This window comes from Homo sapiens, chromosome 10, assembly GCF_000001405.40.
Source record: "Homo sapiens chromosome 10, GRCh38.p14 Primary Assembly".
Taxonomy (NCBI): Eukaryota; Metazoa; Chordata; class Mammalia; order Primates; family Hominidae; genus Homo; species Homo sapiens.
The window spans coordinates 114440706-114463971 of NC_000010.11; the positions used below are offsets into that span (position 1 = coordinate 114440706).

At 40.5% G+C, this 23266-nt stretch overlaps 1 protein-coding gene across 56 annotated transcripts in view, besides 1 other annotated feature; it reads right to left on the minus strand.

Moving 5' to 3' along the window:
- The window catches only part of ABLIM1 (actin binding LIM protein 1), a 370264-nt gene that overhangs the window by 9596 nt on the left and 337402 nt on the right, over nucleotides 1-23266 (minus strand). For 10 of the 56 annotated variants that reach the window (XM_017016250.2, XM_017016245.2, XM_047425233.1 and 7 more), the window contains 8 exons: nucleotides 22340-22459; nucleotides 12674-12778; nucleotides 10919-10966; nucleotides 7175-7321; nucleotides 4607-4698; nucleotides 3324-3429; nucleotides 1017-1081; nucleotides 312-372 (listed from right to left, as the gene is read on the minus strand). In XM_017016250.2, the coding sequence (XP_016871739.1) occupies nucleotides 312-372; nucleotides 1017-1081; nucleotides 3324-3429; nucleotides 4607-4698; nucleotides 7175-7321; nucleotides 10919-10966; nucleotides 12674-12778; nucleotides 22340-22459 (744 nt within the window). 56 annotated transcript variants of the gene reach the window in all.
- Nucleotides 19235-19736: an enhancer, noted in NCBI's record as "H3K4me1 hESC enhancer chr10:116219699-116220200 (GRCh37/hg19 assembly coordinates)". NCBI's record gives its function as "activates a minimal SCP1, AML or CMV promoter by ChIP-STARR-seq in primed H9 embryonic stem cells {active_cell/tissue: H9 hESC(primed)}" and the evidence as "EXISTENCE:reporter gene assay evidence [ECO:0000049][PMID:30033119]".

The window sequence follows — 23266 nt, forward strand, 5'->3', positions numbered from 1 at the left end:
CCGCCTCAGCCTCCCAAAGTGTTGGGATTGCAGGCATGAGCCACCATGCCTGGCCTCTAGGTATCTGATAGAGTGCTCAGCACATAGTATGAGCAATGAATAAATTCTCACAAACTCACTTCTTACAGTTTGATTTCATTAGATATTCTTTGAAATTTTGTAAATAATTGCCCTATTAGCTCACAGAAGACAGATGTGATCCTACTCTAAGGATACAATACAGCATGAACACAGCCAGTATACTTGACTCTCATGAACCTCAGCCTCGAGGGAAGACGTGGCCATGCTCAGCCTGGCCATGGGAGCCTCACCTCGCACTCCCCCGCTGACATCCCCATAGCTGTTATACTGAGCGAAGTCGGTAGAAACAGGCTGAAATGAGGAAAAACAATTATTAGGAAATCTCCATAGTGATCGTTTTGGAGTCAGGTGAAAAGGAAGAAAGAGTTTACAAAATCCTAGGAATTCTTCCCAAGCTAAATGTCAGACCTTCATTTTTTTTTTCCCTATGATTCTTCTACTGCTATGCCATCTCTTTGTCTTTTTTAGTGTACTAATGCCACCACTCAGCAGGCTCTTGGTAAGCAGGGATCTCTTGCTGATAAATAAAAATGCATTGTCCTACATAGTTACATAATTGTATTTGTTCCATCTTTTGTGAGGAGGATGGTTATAACACACATTCTTATATCTTTTTACAGCAAAGATAATGGTTCAAGTAATTACTTTTTGTTTCATTGTAAAAAATATTTGCCATACAGTTTTGCAATTTAGTTTTCCCATAATCATACACAAGCCATTCTTTTATCTAAAGTTAATTTCTTCTTCTCTCAATAGAAACATTTTATTTTGCCTGTAACTCAAATTAATTTACTAGGCAACCAGGGAGGTTAAAATTTTCATTATGTTCCAACACTGAGATCAAGAGTCAGACGTATTCAGGCAATGTGTCAATACTTCAACCAGGGCCGAGGTGGGAGTAAAGGCAGAAACAATGAATCGGGGAGAAATCTTACCCGGTGAAGCCCATTTCTTCCATAGCCAGGGAGAGATGCAGTTTTAGATGATGGAATATGTGAAGCTGAGTAAGAAAAAAGTAAAAAACCAATTGTTAGGAAATCAGAAGGTCCAATCCTTTAATGAAATTGGCAGTATCTTCTACCTCACAGGATAGAAATACCAAAAAAATTCAAATCATATTGGGCTCAAATGTTCAAAAATATGCCATCATATTTGCAAGGAGTGGGTGGACAGTGATATGACTGAGGAGGGAAGGGAAAGTCAAGTCCACGCGGTTGAGTGGGGGCTGAAGCTGGCTGTGCTTCCTATAGCTCTGGCATGGAGCTAAGTGTTCAGCATGCTTTATTTCTTTGAATCTTCAATATAACCCTAATAACACTATGATTATTAGTTCCATATTACAGAAGGAGAAATAGGGGCTAAGAAAAATATCCTGCCAACAGTTACTAAGCTTCTAAACAGCTGAGCAAGGATGTAAATCAGGGATATCTGAATACATTAGCCCATGCCCCAGTTGATAAGGCAGCAGTAACTGAACTGGAAGCCAACCCTGTATGTTATCAAGATCTACCAGCCATCTACAGCTGGCCTCCTGGGAGGCCTGATACAGGGTATCTGTCAATGATATGGAAGCCTGATAAGCTGCTGGGCTTGAGAGGGAGCAGCCCTGGGCTTGAATTCTGGTTCTGCAACTTAATACCTCTGTATCTCCGGACATGGTGTTTAATCTTTCTGAAGTCCTCATTTCTTCATCTATGCAGGTACAATGTTATACATTCTTATAGAGCAGAATCTCAGAATTCCAAGGAACTCTAAAGATTTGTAAACCACCGAATCCAAGATCAATGCCAGTGAGGCATCTATGAAGGGTAGCGGGAATTCCAGGTAAGGGTGTGGGCTCCGGGGTTATAATATGTGGACTTCTAAATCCTAGTCTTGCTAGTTATTGGCGTATCACGCTGGGTATGTTAACTCAATTTCTATACCAGCCTCCTGATTTCTAAAATAGAGATGAAAATGCTGCAGTTGCTAATAACAACCACATCTACTTCACTGGCATGTTGTGAACATTAAATAAAATGTTTAGCAAAAATGCTTGCATGGAGTGAACATTAAATGCATTTTTTTTTTTTGAGACAGAGTCTCACTCTCACCCAGGCTGGAGTGCAGTGGCGCAATCTTGGCTCAATGTAAGCTCAGCTTTCTGGGTTCACGCCATTCTCCTGCCTCAGCCTCCCGAGTAGCCGGGACTGCAGGAGCCCGCCACCACACCTGGCTGATTTTTGTATTTTTTAGTAGAGACGGGGTTTCACTGTGTTAGCCAGGATGGTCTCGATCTCCTGACCTTGTGATCTGCCCGCCTTGGTCTCCCCACTAAATGCATTTTTAAAGGAACTCTTAGAGGAGAAAATTATGCTCTAGCTCAGAATATGAGAGAAGAAATCTTGTGGTTTAAGAGAGAATTGGCTTATGACAAATAGATACAGGGGAAAATACACTGATAGGCTATTTCAGCCCAGTGTATAAGTCATCTTCTTCAAAAGTATCAAAAACACTGTTCATCCTCAGTTCTTGTATTGAAGATTTTTTTTCTTTTTTTTTTTGAGATGGAGTTTCACTCTTGTCGCCCAGGCTGGAGTGCAATGGTGTGATCTCAGCTCACTGCAACCTCCACCTCCCAGGTTCAAGTGATTCTCCTGCCTCAGCCTCCCGAGTAGCTGGGATTACAGGAGCCCACCACCACGCCTGGCTAATGTCTGTATTTTTAGTATAGATGGGGTTTCGCCACGTTGACCAGGCTGGTCTCAAACTCCTGACCTCAGGTGATCCGCCTGCCTTGGCCTCCCAAAGTGCTGGGATTACAGGCATGAGCCACCGCACCCGGCCTCTATTGAAGATATTAATGTAAAATCATAATGCTTAGAAAATGTCTTATTCATGTTATCTAAAAAAAAAAAAAAAAAAAAAGAAGAAGAAGAAAAGCATCATGTTTTTTAGAGGATTTCCTTTTGCTGCTTCCCTTGGAGATGAGTGTTCTAGAAGACAAACCTAGTATATGGGGATTGGCCTTCATGGATTTTGAGAACCTCCAAGGGTTCACCCATTTCCAGAAGAAAGGAAACACACATTTATGGAAGACCCATGACATGCTTATGAGCTCATTTGACATGGAGTGGGTTTCCCACACTTCCTTTCCCGTGGAATACTCTGTAGGTTCCACCACAAGTGAACAGTCAAGGCAGGTGCCTTACAAGCAGGTGGCTGGCTCTCGAATCAGGGAAGGTTGGGGGTTTGCTGCTTACCTGAGTTGATGGGAGAATCGTAGCGACTGGCTAACAGAGATGACCTTTCCCGGCTCTCTTTCTCCATCTCTTCTTTCAAGATCAACTGTCCCAGGCCTGAGTTAAGCTATTCACAGAAAAAAGGAAAAAAAAAAAAAAAAGAAAGCAAAGCTTGCAATTACTTTCATGGAGCTGCAGTTTCTTTGTAGCAGATCCCACAAGAAGTTTCTCTTGCTGGAGGGCCTGAATGCATGTGGCCCCAGAGCCTGGTAGTTCCTGAAGAGGTAGGTCAAGTTTGGGACCCTAAACCCTCTTAGCCCTTTCAGTTTCAAAGCTCCATTTCCCTAAGTCAGGCTCTGTGTTAGAAGAACGTTTTCCTTCCTCTGCTTTCCCTAAAGAGCCAGGAGACCTCAGAAGGCATGTGTGAGTGTGTGTGGATTTTTGATGTGGGAAGGGAAGACTGGGGCTGGTATCCTTTAAAAAGAAATTGCCTTGATTTGTTTAAAAACAAGAAATAAAGGTAATACATGCTAATTTTACAGATTTTGGAAAATCTAGAAGAAAAGAAGAGTAACCCATAATATGTCACTCAGAAATAACACTATCTTTTGATTTATATCTATCTAGTATTTTTGTATACACACATATAAAACTGAGATCATACTATAAATGCAACTTTGTATCCTTTGACTAATATCACGTGCATTTCCTATATGCTTAGAAAACATCATTTGAAAGGATTCAGCAGCCTCTTGACTGATAACAGACTGTCCTTCTGGGCTGCTGCAGGCCCTTGCTACAGGAAGGAGGGTATGAAGAGGACCCCTTCATGGTGGCCATTCCTTTCATTCCTTTTCTCCTGGCCCACATCCTGGGAAAAGACTTGGAGAAATGTTCAATCCCACAGTCATTCCTTCAGCAGAACTGCATGAGGGAAGGAAGGTGTGGCACTACCTGGGTGGATACCACCTTGCTCTGCCTGGCCCTCCAGCAGCCTTTCAACACATGCACTGCACACATGCCCCCATGTGGTCTCTCTTTCCTTCCCACAACAACCCAAACCTTCCACACCCCTCTGACCTCCAGCACCAATGCCATCTCCTCTAGAGCCCAGCAGGTATTCTGCCATATTCTAGTTACTATTAACAGACACCTGTCTTGCCTTGCCTGCCAGATTTCAAGCCCCTTGAAGACTGGGACCACCTCTTGCCTATCTAGATGGTTTATACATAGTAGTCATTCAAAAAATATAGATCTTATGTAACTAGCATTGAAGACAGCAGCAAGGTAGTTTAAGGACAAACCTTCATTAATTGCTCTTCTTGAAGCTGCCGACGTCTCAGAAGTTCCTCATCATCTTCCTCTCTGCCACTAGATCTGCGTTTCATGTCAGGTCCTAATTCCACAGCAAAGACAACTTCTCACATCAGCCCCAAGACAAGGGAATCTTAACGGGCTAGTCCATCTGTGTTCAGTTTGTTAGGCTGGCAAGGTCAGCAACGGTCTTTAACACTTTTAAGTAAACAATACAAGAGAAAACAAAAATGCCTGCCACCAACTCAGCACTACTGGCTGGTTTCTCAAGAAAATGGCCCTGTGTGACAAGCCAGGTCAACGTGCAATGCAAGGAAGGCCTGAATTTAGGCCTCCCTGCTCCATTAGAACTGGGTTTGCAACTTAGTCTAAGTTCACTGGTCAGAGATCACTTTAGTAAATGGAAGGGCATCTCCAGTTGTTATTTTGATGTCTTTGAAGTGAATTTCCTTTTTCCTTTCTTTTTTGAGACAAGGTTTCACTCTGTTGCCCAGGCTGGAGTACAGTGATGCAATCATGGCTCAGTGCAGCCTCGACCTCCAGGCTCAAGCAATCCTCCCACCTCACCCACCTGGGTAGCTGCGACCACAGGTGTATGCCACCATACCCTACTGATTTTTAAATATTTTTTATAGAGACATGGTCTCACTATATTGCCCAGGCTGATCTCAAACTCCAGGGCTCAACTAATCCTCCTGCCTTGGCCTCCAAAAATGCTGGGATTACAGGCGTGAGCCACCACGCCCAGCCTCAATTTTCAAATAGAAAGAAATGCAAATTTATCTACATACCAACAGATAGGTAAGATAGTCATTGTTTTGTGACATGCGTTTAAACCTTGTAGTTTTCTCTTTTTCTGAATATTTAGAATTTCATAATACTATCACTCTGTCTTCTACTCTTAGTAAATTCAATAAAAAGCATACTTTTACTATTTCTTTCGAGAAATGGGTCTCTAAGGTTTTCTTTTTCTCATCCTTTGAAAAATGGTCACAAAAGAGTTTTATACTAATAGGTAAATCAAAAGCATTAATACAGGTACAATTTTACTTTGGAACAATATAGTAAATTGTGTTCAATTTTTTAGCTTTCTGGAAAGGGGAGACAGGGAAAGGAAAGGAGGAATCTGTCTGAATGGTTGAGAGGTTAAGATAATTATTGTTTTCCTAAATTGCTTGGATTAATCTGGCTGTGGGAGGAAACAGGAAAGTTTGCTAATCTAATCAAAATAAACTTTAACTAATAGTCTTAGTTTTCAGCATTTTGATTAATGGACCTGAAATTTTTCCTCCTTTTGGAATCTAAAAGAGCTTTAAACTACTTAGTGATAATAAATTCAACAACAAAAACTTAATTCTCCCTCTTTCCAAAATGTAGCTGCTTTAATGTCCCAGTAAGCAATTTACTAAACTAGCAACCTCAAGGCCTCAAGAACTTCCTGAAGGGCATGGATTGGCATAGAAAAGCTGATGGTTGGTTCTTAGTTCTTACAATTATAAATGTCAGTGTGAAGTTTCTCTCTTTAGTTTACACTAATGAAAATCAATAGGCACAAGTTTGCAAGGACTAGATAAATTTCATTAATATAATGTACACAACACTTGTGAATAATGAACTTAGGAGGTAGATTTTTCCTTAAACTCTTTCTATAAGTATCAATTGATTTAAAATCCACTTGTATTGCTTGTGAAAGATATTCCAAAAATAACTTATTAAAAATAGCACAATGAAGATTAGGACATTTTGGAAAATTGAAGGCCTTTTAGGTTGTTAACAGAAATGTGATAAGATCGTGTCTTTGTAAAGCTGACTCGCTAAATTTTCAGTATTAGCTTCTGGGTTTGCTAATACTTCTTTTTAGGCCGAGTAGGTTCACTACTGATAATATAGTAAAGACACAGACATAATTGGAAAGCATGGAGCAAAGAATGAAACAGCTGAAATATGACATTTTAGCACAGAATTCATGAAAATGGTAGATGTAAAATCACATAACTTCACAGAAGTAATATTTCAGAACACCTACTACTCTGCAATAGCCCTTTTGCATGATGGACAACATGATCTTACAAGAAAAATGAAAGTGCTTCAGTGTTAAGATTGGTTGTTAAGAATTATAACTACAACCCAGAAATAGTCTAAAACAAATTTAACTGAAAGAAGTCATGCTTCTACAAACATTCGGTAAATTCACCCACTAGACTCTAATTATATAGAACAATGTTCTTGCCATAAGGCTTTCACTCAACTATGTTCAACAGAGTTACTGATTCTGCAGTATTAACTCTGAGAGTCCATGCAAACCATTGGTTTTAGACCAGTTCTGGATCCCAGTGGGTTTGGTTAGAACAAGACTCTGGTGGATGTGTTTTTGTAACTTTTAAGCGTTTTGTACAACAAGTTAATACCACGTTAGTTCTTTTCACTATGCTACCTCTTGGTCATACTTTTCTTTAAAATCTTCATAATAGGATACATTTTCTTTCATGTTTTTAAGCATGTCATCTTGAGCTCTCCTAGCAGTTTGTCCCTTTGACTTAGCCGTGACAGTTGCATACCTACGACAGCAAATGAGGGGGGACCAGGCCAGTGGTCCGTCTCAATCTTTGGTGTCTCGCTGGGGTCTGGTGCCTGGGCTGCTGGGAACTTGGAAAACTTGATGATATCTTCTGAGGACTTGCTCTGGGCTGCCAAGGCAGCTGCATCTAGATGGGAATCAGGGGTTGCTTAGCTATTGGTCTGTAAGACAATGGCGGTACAACCCCACTTACATAGTTTTCTTGTTCTCTGGCAAAAGTTTCAGTTCCAGAAAGTTCTGTTTATTACCATTATCCATGGCCCAGTCACTCAGAGGTACCTATTGACAAGTCAACTCATTTTCCTTACTTTACGTCAGAAGCAAAGCTTCATTCTACATGTGTTCTACATCTGAAAAACCCTATTCTAGAGTGCTGCCCAGCACTAGCTAGATGAGGCTATTTAAACAAAAAAAATTAATACAATTAAAATTCTGCTCCTCAGTTTCACTAGCCATATTTCAACTGCTCAGTAGTCACATGTGATTAGTGCCTACTGTCCTGGCCAGTGCAGATATAGAACATTTCCATCCTTATAGAAAGTTCCAGTGGACAACACTCTCCTAGAGTAATTAGTAATCTAAAATTAAAGAGCTAAGTTGAAAGCATGACGCTATCACTTGACTGTAGTTGTTAATCATTAGAGGGTTGGCGGGCTTTGCATCTTTGGGCAAGAAGCCACAAATATGTTGGTCCAGATCATTCTTTTATTATTATTATTATTATTATTATTTGAGACAGAGTCTCACTCTGTCGCCCAGGCTGGAGTGCAGTGGTACAATCTTGGCTCACTGCAACCTCTGTCTCCCAGGTTCAAGGGATTCTCCTGCCTCAGCCTCCCAAGTAGGTGGGATTAAAGGCATGCACCACCATGCCCAGCTGATTTTTGCATTTTTAGTAGAGACAGGGTTTCTCCTGGCCAGGTTGGTCTCGAACTCCTGACCTCAGGTGATTCGCCCACCATGGCCTCCCAAAGTGCTGGGATTACAGGCATGGGCCACCACACCCTGTCTGGTCCACTTCATTCTAATCCTTATATACTAAATACATGTGTCCTTGAGTCCTAGGAGAAATGGAAATTGGAAAATCCACTTTCAGCTTGCAGGAATTTGGCATTGAAACTTATGTTTGCCGTTTCCACTCATTGTTTTGTTCAAAGGTCTGTGCACACAAGTGAGTTATCCAACTTTAAAACAACAAAAGCCAAACTAGCAGCAATATTAGTTCACAAAGTTCTTATTGGCTATGCTTAGAGGAGGAGTCACAGCTTAGAGCCCCAGATCTAACCTACAGAGATGGAGCAAAACAAACCAGGTTAAATGGACAGTCCCTGATTCTGGCTAATTTTGCAAATCGGCCAGGGATGTCACTAAATATTTCAAAATGTATTTATAATGCCTTAAATAACTTTTTTCTTCTGGGCTTACATATTTTAAAATCTGGAAATAACCTTTTGAATCTTCAGCTCTAAGTCCTCCATTTTTCGGGTAACCTTCTGGGTCTCAATTTGCTTAAATAACTCAACCAAGGTCACCCAATACAAAGGGGTAGTCTTTTTTCCCTTCCTTGGAGATAGGGTCTTGCTATGTTGTGCAGGCTGGATTCTAACTCCTGCACTCAAGCAGGTCTCTCATTTCAGCCTCCCAAGTAGCTGAGACTATGGGTGTGGGCCACTGTGCCCAGTTTAGGAGGTAAAGTCTTGGCCAGGCATGAAACAGTGTTCCTCTGAATCTCTAACCTCATGAGAAAACCATTTCAGCTTGGAAAACACTACATAGGAAATCCCCTTCTTAAAGATGGACAAAACATGTTAGCATATAAGAAGTTCTCAGAAGTTCTGCATTATGAAGAACAAATGTGACTTGATTTAAATCTAGCCTTTCTCAAACGCATCAGGGCACAGACACCAGTTTTGGGCATAACAACTATTTCTTTGGCATGGAATGGCTGTTTTGCAAAAACATCCTTTGGAAAGCGCTGCTCTGGCTGGGCTATTTTTAATTAATTATAACAGCCTGAAAGACTTCAGTCAAAGTAAATATTATGAAAAGAAGTCAACTAATTCCTTCCAAACAAATAATCTAACATTATCCAATCTCCTTAAATTTTAATTATTTGATTATTTTTGTTCAGAGAGGAGGACCTAAAGATAGTATTTTTTAAAGCCTGTAAGTTGACAAATCAAATGCTGAGAATTTTATTCTTAAATTAACAACAAAAGGATGACTTCAAACAGTACTTACGCATTAGAATTGGTGAAGTCAGTAGTTAAACATTCACATGTTAATGAGTGTGTGGAAAGACAATAAACCATAAAAAAAAAAAAACAAAAACAATGTTAACAAACTTAAAAAGCAAGCGTATGGTTTAAAACCTCAAAAAAAAAAGATGAGAAAAAAAATCATAGCTCTAGAACCATTACGATACATACATTTCTCTTTGTCTTCCTGATTTTGGTCTAAAATTTTTTTCCTTACGCATTTTCAATGTTATTTGATTTTGATTTTCACATCGTCCTAATTCTTCTTTCTTTCTTTCTTTTTTTTTTTTTTTTTGGCGACAGAGTCTCATTCTGTCGCCCAAGCTGGAGTGCAGTGGTGTGATCTCAGCTCACTGCAATCTCTGCCTCCTGAATTCAAGTGATTCTCCTGCCTCAGCCTCCCATGTGGCTGAGATTACAGGTGTGCGCCACCACGCCCAGCTAACTTTTTTGGTATTTTTAATAGAGGAGACAGGGTTTCGCTACATTGGTTGGGCTGGTCTTGAACTCCTGACCTCAAATGATCCACCTGCCTCGGCCTCCCACAGTGCTGGGATTACAGGTGTGAGCCACTGCACCTGGCCTCATGTTATCCTAATTCTTAAGGACTCATGAATGTCAGCTGAATTCTAAAGGCAGCCTTCAAATTTCCAGGCACAATCTGTGTAGAATTTTCTGAAAACGCCTGAAGACCAGCTTTAGATATCTTTTCACAAAGATTTATGGTCGATATATCTACAGAGACTTAATAATGGTGGAGGAAAATGTGATTTACATAAAGTCATGTGAGTTCCTGAGTTAAAAAAAGGAAAACAGAATTATACATCCACGTTAGTGATTCTTAGTTTGCAGGAAGTTCAGAGACAAACTGATCTAACTAACTGGTTTTTACAGAAGAGAAAACTGAAGCACAGAGAAATGACGTCACAGAGCCATTTAGGGAGAAAGTGGGAGCAGAGCCTTGACCTCTGTGTTAGCCTGTATCCTGTCCACTCCACTGTGCACACATCTTCATGCCCAATAAGAAACTGGAGACCTGGACAGCCAAGTTGATGTAGGCTCAGTCAAATTAGTTTTTCTAGGTGGCTGGTTTTTCACCAGTTTAAATTAGTCTCATCAAAATTATTTTAAAGGGTGACTATATTTGATGGCAAAAAGAAAAAAGACTTGCTAGGATGTTTGTGAGTTGCTGTGTGACCAGTACTTCCCCTTCTCTAGGAACAGAATGATACATGGTTTGATGGGCTCAGCAACAGGTTAGAAGCTTTCTAATCAAGCTAAGTCTCTCCATCCAGGAGAATCAATTTTACAATATTTACATCTTAGTAGACCAGAAAGGCATAATATGCTGGATGCCCCAGTTTTACTCTCAAAAGCAGCAGCAGGAAAAGCCTTTCAGAGGACAGCAAGGAGAAGTTCAGCTGACTTTGCTATTTAAAAGCTACGCGGAGGAAAGCGGGTTTTACCATGCTGTTTGTAGATGGGTGGCTTTCGGTAAATGTTGATTCCTTGATCTGTGGAAATGAAAAGCAAAGGTGTGTGATTATGGGAACCAGTTCAGCGATGGGAAAAACAGATCAACCAAGGGGCAAATCAAACTGAAGATCTTGAACAAAAACAACCCAGAAGGTTAATTTCTGTATTACAAAGATTGAGTTTATTGAAAGAAAAATTATAGAAATGAGTGGCTTACTATAGACAAGTGTTATGGAAGCCTTTGTAATACATCTTAGGATATATAAAGATGTGATTAACTCATGAGCCATTTATTTCAAATACACACTTCATTGAAAGTGGGATTAAAACAGGAAGAAACGCAAGCAGTGGAGGTACTCTTATGGTGAGAAAGACATAACCAGCTTGGGGAAAATGCCCAAATTGCTATTGTCTAGAAATTGAGCCCCCAGTAGATACCAGTGGCTCAATTTACTTTTCAACTAATGAGTGGAACAGTGGAAAGCAATGTAGAAAAATCAAAAGTTTTTTTAAAAAAAACAGAAACTTTTTATGTGCAAGGCTAGCCTGGTGTGCTGATGGGATGTTCAACAAATCCTAATTTATACAGGCCAAATTTTTTAAAAAAAGAATGAATGAAAAAGAAAAGAGATGCTAAACACTATGTATATATTTATACAAGACCCCCTTGGATTATGGAACCATTTTGCTTTAACTATAAATACTCAGGAAATTTCAAAAGGTTTCTGTTTCCCCAGAACCGTGGGCACTGTATCTTGGTGGGGCATTTTTATGTGAAAAATCCCAGATATAGAACATTAATTTTCAAGATTCAATTAAACTTTTTTAGAAAGGACAGTCCCAACTAAGTGATATAAATCTCAGTGAACTTTCCTCTGTTTTATTAGGTAAGTTTAGAAGCAAAAGAAAAAAATGATTATAGATTCTAAATATGTACACTTACATTAATATAGTGGGTAATTTATTAAACTACTTTCAGTAGCTAAACAAAGCAAAAAACAATATACTGCTGGTAGAAATATAGTATTATTACCTCTGATGGCTAATCCTGTCCTTACAAAGTGAGCTGATTCTAAACATTAAGATATTATATTAATGGGCTCTGATTATTTCAGTTTCTGATGTCAAATTACTATTTGCATTATGACAGCAAATGCTTGTGACTACTAGAGCAAAGCTTGCAGCACCAAGCCTAAATTGCAAGATATCTTCACGGGCTATGGAGATGGCTAGTCTGTTATGCGCTGCAGAAAGACCAACCAATTCACCCAATTCTACATCTCTCTGAAAAGTCCTTGGAGAAAGTCTCCACATTAGAGAAAAACAGGAAATATAAAAGTATTCTCTCAGGTGATACTGTGGTTCAGTCTTTAGGATGAGAAGATAACTAGATTGCCATTGCCATAATTAGTCAATGACAGCAAACCACAGAAAGATATCTCAGAAGGCAATGATAAAAAGGTACAATTAAAATTTTAGTAAAAAACAAAACAAAACAACCCAACTGCTTTTACCCATCACCCACACTCTTCAAAAATTATTTTAGAAAACATAAACCTTCAACATAATCCTGGCATTTAACACATAAAACTTTTGAAAGGCCCCCTAGGTCAGATCCTGCAATTTAGGGTTTGTTAACTGTGCATCCCAATTAAAAGAGCATGAGAGATGAGACAAGACGAGGTTACAAGGCTACATTCTACACTGTGACAGGACACCAAGACACAGACTGTGTCAGCTCCTACCTGGAACATGGAAATGTTTAGGGGCCTGAGCGTAAGTTGGAGTTAGAGGGCGGCTGTCTGGCCGGTAAGGGAGAGGGGAGTTCCGGCCGCTGGACGGCTCATTGCCTCCAATGAGAAGAATGGAAAAAACAAAATGAGAGAAGGGAGAGAGAAACAAAGAAAACAAAGCAAGTGTAATAAAAATTCAAAACAACAGACTGGAAGGAGGTTCATCAAAAAGGAGAAACAAAAGAAACAAACTCAATTTATCAACTTGACTTGCAAAGGTGATATCAGGTTTAGTTTTCCGTTGCAGAGATTTGAACTCAGGTGGAGCTGGGTTAGAAGCAGCTAGCGGTCAGGTGCGTCATTCCAATGGCATGCATTGAAAGCTGTGAGCTCGCAGCAAACTGATTAGATGGAGGGGAGATTGGGAGCGATGGAAAGCTGCTTGCTCATGATTCAGGATCAGTTGTCAGGTGGTTAAATCCCAAGCGTGTAAAGGAGCGGGCTAGGCAAACCCAAATACAAATCACTCTCAAGCATGATGGCAGCAGCTGGCAATTAGCAGAGGTTTCTCCGATCTGAAGGTTAAGTCTGGGAACCCGTGTGGTCACCAAGTCCTTCCCCTTAGGAATACAAAGTGCCTTCAATTGCAGCGTGTTTGCATATGTTTCTGTTTTCCTCACTTTGAAATATATAAAATAGAGTCAGACGCGTGTCAGCCAGGTATTTCACGACCATTTATACCTCTCCCCATCTTTCACTTCAAAGATGAGGCTCAACCCAGGCCAATGATTCAATCATTGAAATATTTATTGAACACCTACTATGGCTGGGCACTGAGTACTACTGAGGACAAATAGATGAATGAGATATAGTCCCTGCCCTCAAGGGACTTAGAGGCTATCTAAGGAGACAAACTTAAATGCCATATAATGACATGCAATTGTTTACTCTGAGGTATAAGAAAAATGCTATGAGACTCAGATGAAGGTGACACCAATTCTTCAAGCTAGGTTTGAGCTGGGCATCAAAGAGTAAGCTCACCAGGTGAGAGGGTAGGTGAATGGGAGGGTGGGAAGCCCATATTCCAGACAGCTGGAATGTCATGAGAAAGGAGGGTGTGGAAGGGTGCAGACTGGAGGAGCAACAGGACTGGCCACCTTGTCTGGAAGGCATGGTGCTCTTGGAGGAGAGAAGAGGGACCAGGGCAGAAAAGAGAGCAAAGGGGTGGCTGCAAAAGCTTTAAGTGCCACCATAGCCACCATCACTCCCTTCTGACCAGGAGAATGGCCAAGATAAACTAATTCAGCTTGTGCAAAATTAGAAAGAGATTTGTAACTGGCCTAAATTGTCCTCCTACCCTATGTCTGGGCAAACATCTTGTCTCAAGAAGACACCAGAAGATGCAGGACTATTAAAGCTCAATAAATTAGTAGGGGTAATGACTTTTACTGCTGAGTTGTAAGAGCTCTTTATATATTCTGGATACAAGTCTCTTGTCAGAAATAATATGAACTTGCAAATATTTTCTCCCAGTCTGTAGGTTGTCTTTTCACTTTTTTGGTGGAATTCTTTGAAGCACAAAAGTTTAAAATTTTTGATAAAGTCCAATTTATTTATCTATTAACACTAATAATTTTAAATAAATCATAGATCATCAGAAAATAGAGGTCTGGCCAGTTGCTTCAGGTCAAATTTTTCTAAATCTATCCAGTCAAGTGTGAAAGATGTCAATTGTTACCGTTTGAATATACATTTAAGAGAATTTTAATGTCTCAGCATGTACATTTTTAAGTAACCAGAGTACAGATCTACACTAAATGGGCAGTAAGATATTCCAAATATGGGATCTGTGTCTATTACTGAGTCAAATTTAGATTTCTGGCTTTTGGTTATTGGTGTTCTGAAACTTTTGTCTTTTCTTCTCAAGAGCTGGTTTAGCATCCAGACCCAAATATGTTATAATGTTGACTTTATTATTTAAGTCATATATTAGTTCCTAAAAATTATGAAATATCATCCCAAACTATTGATCTATTAAAAAGCTAATTTATAAAAATGTTATCTCATTTATCCCTCTCCTAAAGAGAAGTAACTAGTTCCTATCGGGAAAAAATGAGTATAAAAAACACAGAGGAAAACAGGGGAAGGAAGATTATAATTTGCATTTAGAAGGAAATAGTGTTTTAAACCTGTTGCTGAATTAAAACTTGGTCTCATTTGTCATCATCAGTGCTCAGGGTATCGCCTGGCCAGGAGTAAGTGCTTAATAAATGTCTGTGAATGAATGATTGAAGGAGGCCAATTAATTACCTCCACAGCTATTTATTGGCCTAATTTAGCAAGCACCATGGCAAGATTCACCATCAATTTTCTCTAAATTAAAGGAAGCCAGATGCTAGTGCAATAAGTCCTCACTTAATATCAACAGGTTACAGGAAACTGCAACTTTTTTTTTTTTTTTTTTGAGACGGAGTCTCGCTCTGTCGCCCAGGCTGGAGTGCAGTGGCGCGATCTTGGCTCACTGCAAGCTCCGCCTCCTGGGTTCACGCCATTCTCCCGCCTCACCCTCCTGAGTAGCTGGGACTACAGGCGCCCGCCACCGCGCCCGGCTAATTTTTTGAATTTTTTTAGTAGAGACGGGGTTTCACCATGTTAGCCAGGATGGTCTCAATCTCCTGACCTCGTGATCCACCCGCCTCGGCCTCCCAAAGTGCTAGGATTACAGGCGTGAGCCACCGCACCCGGCTGGAAACTGCAACTTTAAGCAAAACAACATATAGCAGGTCCTTGAAGAACGTCGTTTATTTCAACCTAGAACACTGATGAGGGGAAAAACTAGTTTTTTTAATATTTCAATTCACTTAAGTCACAGTTTCCAAGTAAATGATGATGATAAGTAAAGACCTGTGTACAGCACTGGGCTCACAACAACACCCCTTTTATAAGTTTCCCATTACAGCTAATCTTTGACAACTCCAATATAAATGTTTCACTGAAGAAAAATGATTTAATCCTATGAACATTAGAAATTAACAAGAGTAATCCATAACTGAAAAACAGAATCATTCTTACGGTCTTTTCTCGAAAGAAGGTATAATGGGTCTCAACTTTTACTACTGCTTCTGAACCCCCCTGCCCCATGCTTTTGTTCTTTCACATAGACCTCCACTGTCCTTGCAGAAAATCAGATGTTTCCAGGAAAGTTCTCGTAGGTTTTGGTTATAATACACAATCAAATGAACCCCCATTAAATCAGTTTTTATCATTATTAGCCAGTGTCACGCACACACAAAAATATCTGCATATGCAGGACACAAACTTTAAGGTTATTAGAATTAGACATTTGTCCAGGGATTAAAATATTTCTATCAACAAGACCCTGTGTTGGCCAGTGCCTGTAGAAGCCCCTCACTTCTTGAATATGGTCAAAGCCTCTCAAAGGTTATGGAGTAGCTGTCTGAATTCCCAAGGACTGGATTCTGGCTGAATGCTGTCACCAGTTGGGTGTGGTTCTATATTAGGCTGGATGTCTTCAGCAAACATTCACCTCTCTAGTTGTTTTTTTTTTAAAAAAAAAAAAAAAACACTACTTTGTTCAAATTTTGTAAGCAGATGTAACTATAATCATTTAAAACTTCCCACAAAGCATTTTTAAAAATCAGGTAAAGAGAGACCCAATAACACACCCATCTCAGCAATTCTGCAGAATGTGCTTTTCACATATCACAACCGCTCATCGGGGAATAAGTTCTTGGAATACATAATGTTGCTAGGTACCAAATTCTTAGCCCTTGAAATACCAAAGGCATGACAAATTTTGGGCATTTTTAAAAGAAAAAGGAAAATTCTCAGGAAGAGGCCTCTTTCCCTTTTCTAAATTAAACACCTTATCTGTATTTATTTTTATTTTTATTTTTTTTTGAGACAGAGTCTTGCTCTGTTGCCCAGGCTGTAGTGCAGTGGTGCAGTCTCGGCTCATTGTAACCTCCGCCTCCCAGGTTCAAGCGATTCTCCTGCCTCAGCCTCCCAAGTAGCTGGGATTACAGACATGCGCCACCACATCCAGCTAGTTTTTGTGTTTTTAGTAGAGACGGGGTTTCATCATGTTGGCCAGGCTGATCTCAAACTCCTGACCTCAAGTGATCTGTGGCGCCTTGGCCTCCCAAAATGCTGGGATTACAGGCGTGAGATACTGCACCTGGCCAATACCCTATTTAAATGATATAACTTTGAACCCAACCCTGGCAGGAAATAACTTATGGGGGCCCTAAGAGGCCATCTGTGCATAGTTCCTTACTTAAACAAAGTAATGTGTGACACACCAGATGAAATATCATATTTGGAAGATATCATTATTTTCATCATCATCGTTGTCATCATCTATCAACCCTGAATAAGATACTGTTTAAAAATAATAGGCCGGGCATGGGCATGATGGCTTATGCCTGAAATCCCAGCACTTTGGGAGGCTGAGGCGGGTGAATTATTTGAGGTCAGGAGTTTGAGACCAGCCTGGCCAACATGGTGAAACCCTGTCTCTTCTAAAAATACAGAAATTAGCCAGGTGTTGGTGGCAGGCATCTGTAATCCCAGCTACTCAGGAGGCTATGGCAGGAGAATTGCTTGAACCCGGGAGGTGGAGATTGCAGTGAGCCGAAATTGCACCACTGCACTCCAGCTGGGGCAACAAAGTGAGATTCTGCCTCAAAACAAAAAACAAAACTACTCTGTGTGTGTGTGTGTGTGTGTGCGCACATAATACAATAGTACATATATATATATATATCACACTCATAGCTATTTTGTTCCTTTAAGTCCTCAGATTGGGCTACCCTAAGTTGTTAGTGTTCTCATCTATTGTAGTGACAAGCTACTATATTTCTATTTATGTTTCTATTTCTATTTCTTGGCCTTCATTTTTACCTCCTTTCCTGTTAGCCTAGTAAGCTAATTTTTTAGACCTCAGGGGAGCATTCACTCACAGGACTCTCACTGTACTTAACACATTTAAATGCCCATCTCCACTTTCATTCTTCTTTTTGGCACCATGAGAGCCCGAGTGACTAATTCTAAGACAAGCGAATAGAGATGGGGGTGTGCGATTCTGCTGTGGGGACCTGTTGGAGCACTGCCTAGCTTTCTGGACTCAGAGTGCTTACATCCCCAAATATAAATGAACATCTTGAGGGAACCTTAAGATAAGTTGGCAGCATCCAGAATTTTGTGACAGTTTTAAGATTGCCGGTTCTTGTCTAAAGCGTCAATAAGAGTTACGGTTTCCTTCAGCAAGTGTCAAATATATATTTACATCATGGCAACTCATATTTATAGCAAAAGAGGAAAGATTCCTTTCAAAGAAACTTAATATATGTAACCCTCCTGCTCAGAAATCCAATTTATACTTCATGGACACAGAATGTCATGTCTAGCAGTATTTCAAAGGGGAAGCAAGAGAAACTTAGCAGACACTTTACAAACGAAGCCCGAAACAAAGCGAAAATGGTTTTTCCAAATCTCTAGGCATAAGGTTGTCCAAATGGCCCAAAGATATACTAAGATAGAATGAGGCTACAAGGAAGTTTGGAGGACAGAAATAAAAATACACCCAACCAACAATGGATGTTATGGAAAATGAATGGGGAAGCCAGTGAAGGAGAGAAACAGTCTGTGCCGTGCATCTCAGCTTTACAACCATGCAGGCGTCCTCAGCTCAGTGAGGCCCCAGGCCTGGGTCACATGCTGCAAAAACAAGGAACAGGAAGTGGACTTGGGCAATGGAAGGCTGGGCTTCTGGCTGCCAGAGTGGCAAAGGGCGCCCCCTGCCTCTGAGATGGACATCCTACCTTAGGTCAAGCTCCCAGCTCACATCCATTAAAAACAAAACAAAACAAACAAACAAACAAACAAAAACTCCCTCAAGTTCCAAGACAAGCTCCAAGATAAAAGTCAATGAAGGGCCACAAAAAACCCTGGAAGACATTGACTTATCTCAAAGATATCTTGGATGTGTTATCAATGGCCATAGGCTCCCCCCATTCAGAAATTTCTAAGTGCTGGAGAGGTCTTCCATGTAAATGGATGCATGTTTTTCAAAATAACTAAGACGTAATTCCTTGGAGAATCCACATTTAGCCAAATACACTAGGCTTTTAAAGCAATATCTTTAATGTACAAAATCTCCACCACATATCTTTTTTTTTTTTTACACTGCTCCCTGTGGAGCAGGACTGCCCAATAGGCAGTGTGCCCAAAGCAGCCAATGATTTATCTTTAAGGTTGGCAAAAAGCTCATATGATTGAAAAACTAAGTATATACTGTTATGTACATTACACTTTGCATCTGAAGCATAAAGACTATTTCATATGAACAAACTATAGGCACACGTCTAGTAAAAAGAAAAAGGGAGAGAGACTATTAGATGTTTTTAAGTTCAGGGTCACTAATTCCTTTTGGATAATGCTTTTTATCATTTAAATCCAGAACACCTGACGGTGTCAAACACTTCAAATGCAGACTGAAAACAGAAAAGAATGTATATCTACATTTTTAATAAAGCACCATTTAGGAACATAGGGGTGTTATAATTTTTATAACCATTTAATATTTCTATGGAAAAGTAAATATTTCTTAATTTTGTGATCTAAATGACTGAGGATCATTCTTGGTCTAAGAGTCAATAAGAATGCAATTTTCTGGCTAAAAGGGATGAAAAATAAAAGTGTGCTTTAAAAATTATCTTCACACATATTTATACTGAAACGCATGGCCCTCATATGAAGGAGCGTTCCTGGGGAGGAGGGGGCCTGGGTCTAGTCCAGCACTGCCATGTCCTAGTGGTGAGCCCCTGGACAGTTACTTAGCCAGGGCCTCTGTACTTGGTCTCCTCACTGAGCCCATTTCCCAAGAATGCTGTGAAAAGTGAACAGAATGATGGCATCAAAAATGATTTAAGGTCGGGCGCGGTGGCTCACGCCTGTAATCCCAGCACTTTGGGAGCCCCAGGCGGCCAGATCATTTGAGGTCAAGAGTTCGAGACCAGCCTGGTCAACATGGTGAAACCCCGTCTCTACTAAAAATACGAAAATTAGCTAGGCGTGGTGGCGCACGCCTGTAATCCCAGCTACTCAGGAGGCCGAGGCAGAAGAATCGCTTGAAGCTGGGAGGCGGAGGCTGCAGTGAGCTGAGATTGTGCCACTGCATGCCAGCCTGGGCAACACAGTGAGACTCTGTCTCCAAAAAAACAAAAAAAAGCAATTTAAGAGCACCATGCTGACCAAGGTGGGTGTGCCCCACACCAAGACACTTCACCTCGTGATGTAGGAGTCTCATTGTTCTTGATTTATAGAGGAGTCAAGTGACACTCAACAGGATAAATAAGCAACCCAAGGTGATACAGCTAGCAAGTGACGGAGATCATATCTGAACCCAGATTCCAATGCCCATGGGCTTTTCAACTCTCCACATGGCCACTCATGGACATGAAGCAGTATTAGTCATTGACCATTTATGGACACTTTGTGCTGTGTTATTTGGACAAACTGTGTAACTTTATAGGGCCTGTGACACTTTTCTTTCTACAAAAAGTATCTCTCTACAAGTTAAAACATATAATAGCCAAGTGAGGAAGTTTACATTTTAATGAATCAATAATGCATTTTTTCTTAAATATCAGAAATAACCAAAATCTTTGTTTTCTTTCTTTTGTTTTTTTTTTGAGACAGGGTTTTGCTCTGTCACCTAGGCTGGAGTGCAGTGGCTCGATCTCAGCTCACTGCAACCTCCACCTCCTGGGCTCAAGCAATCCTCCTGCTTCAGCCTCTGAGTAGCTGGGACTTCAGGCACGCACCACCATGCCCGGCTAATTTTTTTTTGTATTTTTGGTAGAGATGGGGTTTCGCCATGTTGCCCAAGCTGGTCTTGAACTCCTGGGCTCAAGCAATCTGCCCACCTCAGCAGAAATAACCAAAATCTTAATTTGGCTAATGGCTGTTATATTAAAGTCTCTTTAAAATACACAACTGAAGGGTTTTTTTTTTTTTTTAAGAAAAAAAAACAGCATAATTTCTTTATGATTTTATAAACATTCTCTAAAGTATAATCTTGACATTTTATAAATAAAAATTTTCCCCCAAAATACTAATTAGCACTTATAATTTAAAATAATCTGTCGGCTGAGCATGATAGCTCACGCCTGTAATCCCAGCACGTTAGGAGGTCAAGGCGGGTGGATCACTTGAAGCCAGGAGTTTGAGACCAGCCTGGCCAACATAGTGAAACCCAGTCTCTACCAGAAACACAAAAATTAGCTGGGTGTGGTGGTGCACACCTGTAATCCCAGCTACTCAGGAGGCTGAGGCATAAGAATCGCTTGAGCCTGGGAAGTGGAGGTTGCAGTGAGCCAAGTTTGCACCATTGTACTCCAGCCTGGGTGACAGAGTGAGACTCTGTGTCAAAACAAATAAAAAATAAAAAAATAAAATAAAGTAAAATAATCTGTCAAGAGTTTTAGAGAGTGTTGCACCTATCAAAAAATTTGCTAATGGCAAATGGCACGTGTACCTTAACTCCAGGTATGTGTGTCTTTGATAAGCATGATTGCTTCAATAAGCAATATTATTTTCAAAACATAGAGAATGCTGAAATTAGCAAATTTATAAAATCACTGCATACTGATAAGTACAGTACATGTACCTTTTAGGATTCAGCCGCTCAACAACCAAGTGAGCACAAAGAAAAAGCTTCGGTAGACTGACAACGAAAATTCAGTAAACCAGAACAAGCTCCTCAATGGAAGCATCAGGGCCATGACACATGGAGCAGCACATGGTTAAGAGTCCTTTAGGACTGTTTTAAGACCTGTGATAACATCTGTGCTTGCCTCCTCCTTCCTCCTTCAGCTATTATTATTGGTTTATTTGGTTCAAATCAAGTTCGCACCATTCTGGGAACTCCTACTTAATTTTAAATTATGACCCCTTTGTAGCCTCTTCAGGGTTCTCGGCTCCCCCAGTGTGGAGAGTCCCAACTGAGGACGGCTGCAGAAGCATTGCCGACAATGATGAAAAAGAAGGGATGGGGCAGAAATGTGAGGCAGGAACAGAAAACAGAAGGCAAAGCCTCTCTTCTGCATCATGTGGGAGTTAGGACAAATCAAAAGATGACTGCTCTGAGAGTCGGCTCAAAGAGAAACATTGATGTTGCCATAGATCTTTTAATGCTGCCCAAACATGTTAATATGGTCATGGTTTATCACCGGTAAGACAACTTTTGGATATCTGTTACTAAACACTGTCGTGTTTTGCTGAGACACGTTGCGTATTGAACCCAGGAAAATATTCCAATTATATATATTATATTTTGTTTCGATGCATCCAAAAACAAAATAATAATATATATATATATATTTTCTTTTTTCAAAGTAGTGGATAATAAATCTTATGGTCTTAAACATACTTCCTGCTTCTTCATCTAGAGCCCTTAGAAGTGACATATTTCTCCCAATGAGAGATGCTATGCCCGTTCTAAGACAACTGTTGGGTATAGTCATGACACACGCAGGCATGCTGAGAGCTCAAAAGCTCGGCACTAACTCTTGGAGATACACCTTATTAGCCTTCCCAGGGTGCTAATAAATCTCCACTATGCAGGGTGCTGCCTGGAGAAACCTGCCTCCTTACCTTTGATATGGGGAATGAAGTGGTGTCGGAAAGGGGGGTTGGGGCGGGAGTCGCTGTGGGTGGGGCTGAGGCTGCTGGTGCGCAGGTACGACAACCTCTGCACACCAGGAGACAAAAGCTCTGTGCAGCAAGGAGTCAGGGGCAGGGCACGGTGGAAACAGAAAAGAAGAACAGAAATTAACACAGGAGCAGGGAAAGTGCCATCGTTCCAAGGGAAAACAAAATAAAGAACGTTAATCAGGAGGCTGAAAAGGGAGGAAGGAGAAAGGGTTAAGAGTGCACCTGCTAAGGCTGAGGCAAAGTAGGGGAGAGTTTGCAAAGAGGTTCAGGTGGGTACAGAGTCACTCTCTGAGAATAAATGGCTTTGGTGAGGAGAAATGGTCACCCGGATGGTCTCTGTTCAGCCAGTAGCAGGCACGTCATTTAGACTCAACAACAGCTGTTTTTAAAAAGCACCTGACACAACAGAACCCTCTGAAATGCTTATTAAAAAAAATGACAATCATTGTATTTATATGTAAGGGTCAGGTTTTTTTTTTCTTAAGCAAACATCCCACTGTAAATTTAATTTGATTTTGCCTACATAGAAGGAAAACATGTTTGTGTTCCCTGTGTGGCAAAGAGGTCTATATGATCCCGAGAACTTCAGCAGGAGGACTGGAGGCTGGAAACTCAGTTATCTCAGGAAGAATGGACCATTCAAATTCAACCCAGACCGAGGGGGTTTTAAATCATCATCTGGCATCTAGAACTTGTGGAGTGGACACTTTGGGGTGTTCTATATGGATCACAAGTATGCTATCAGAATCCCTCCAGCTTCACTTTGGAAGGGCAGCCTTCAAAATAATAACTTTAAAGCCTAACAAGTGGCATCAGGCATACATGTAATATATTGTGAAAGGAGAGAAGGAGAAGATTCTAAAGTCT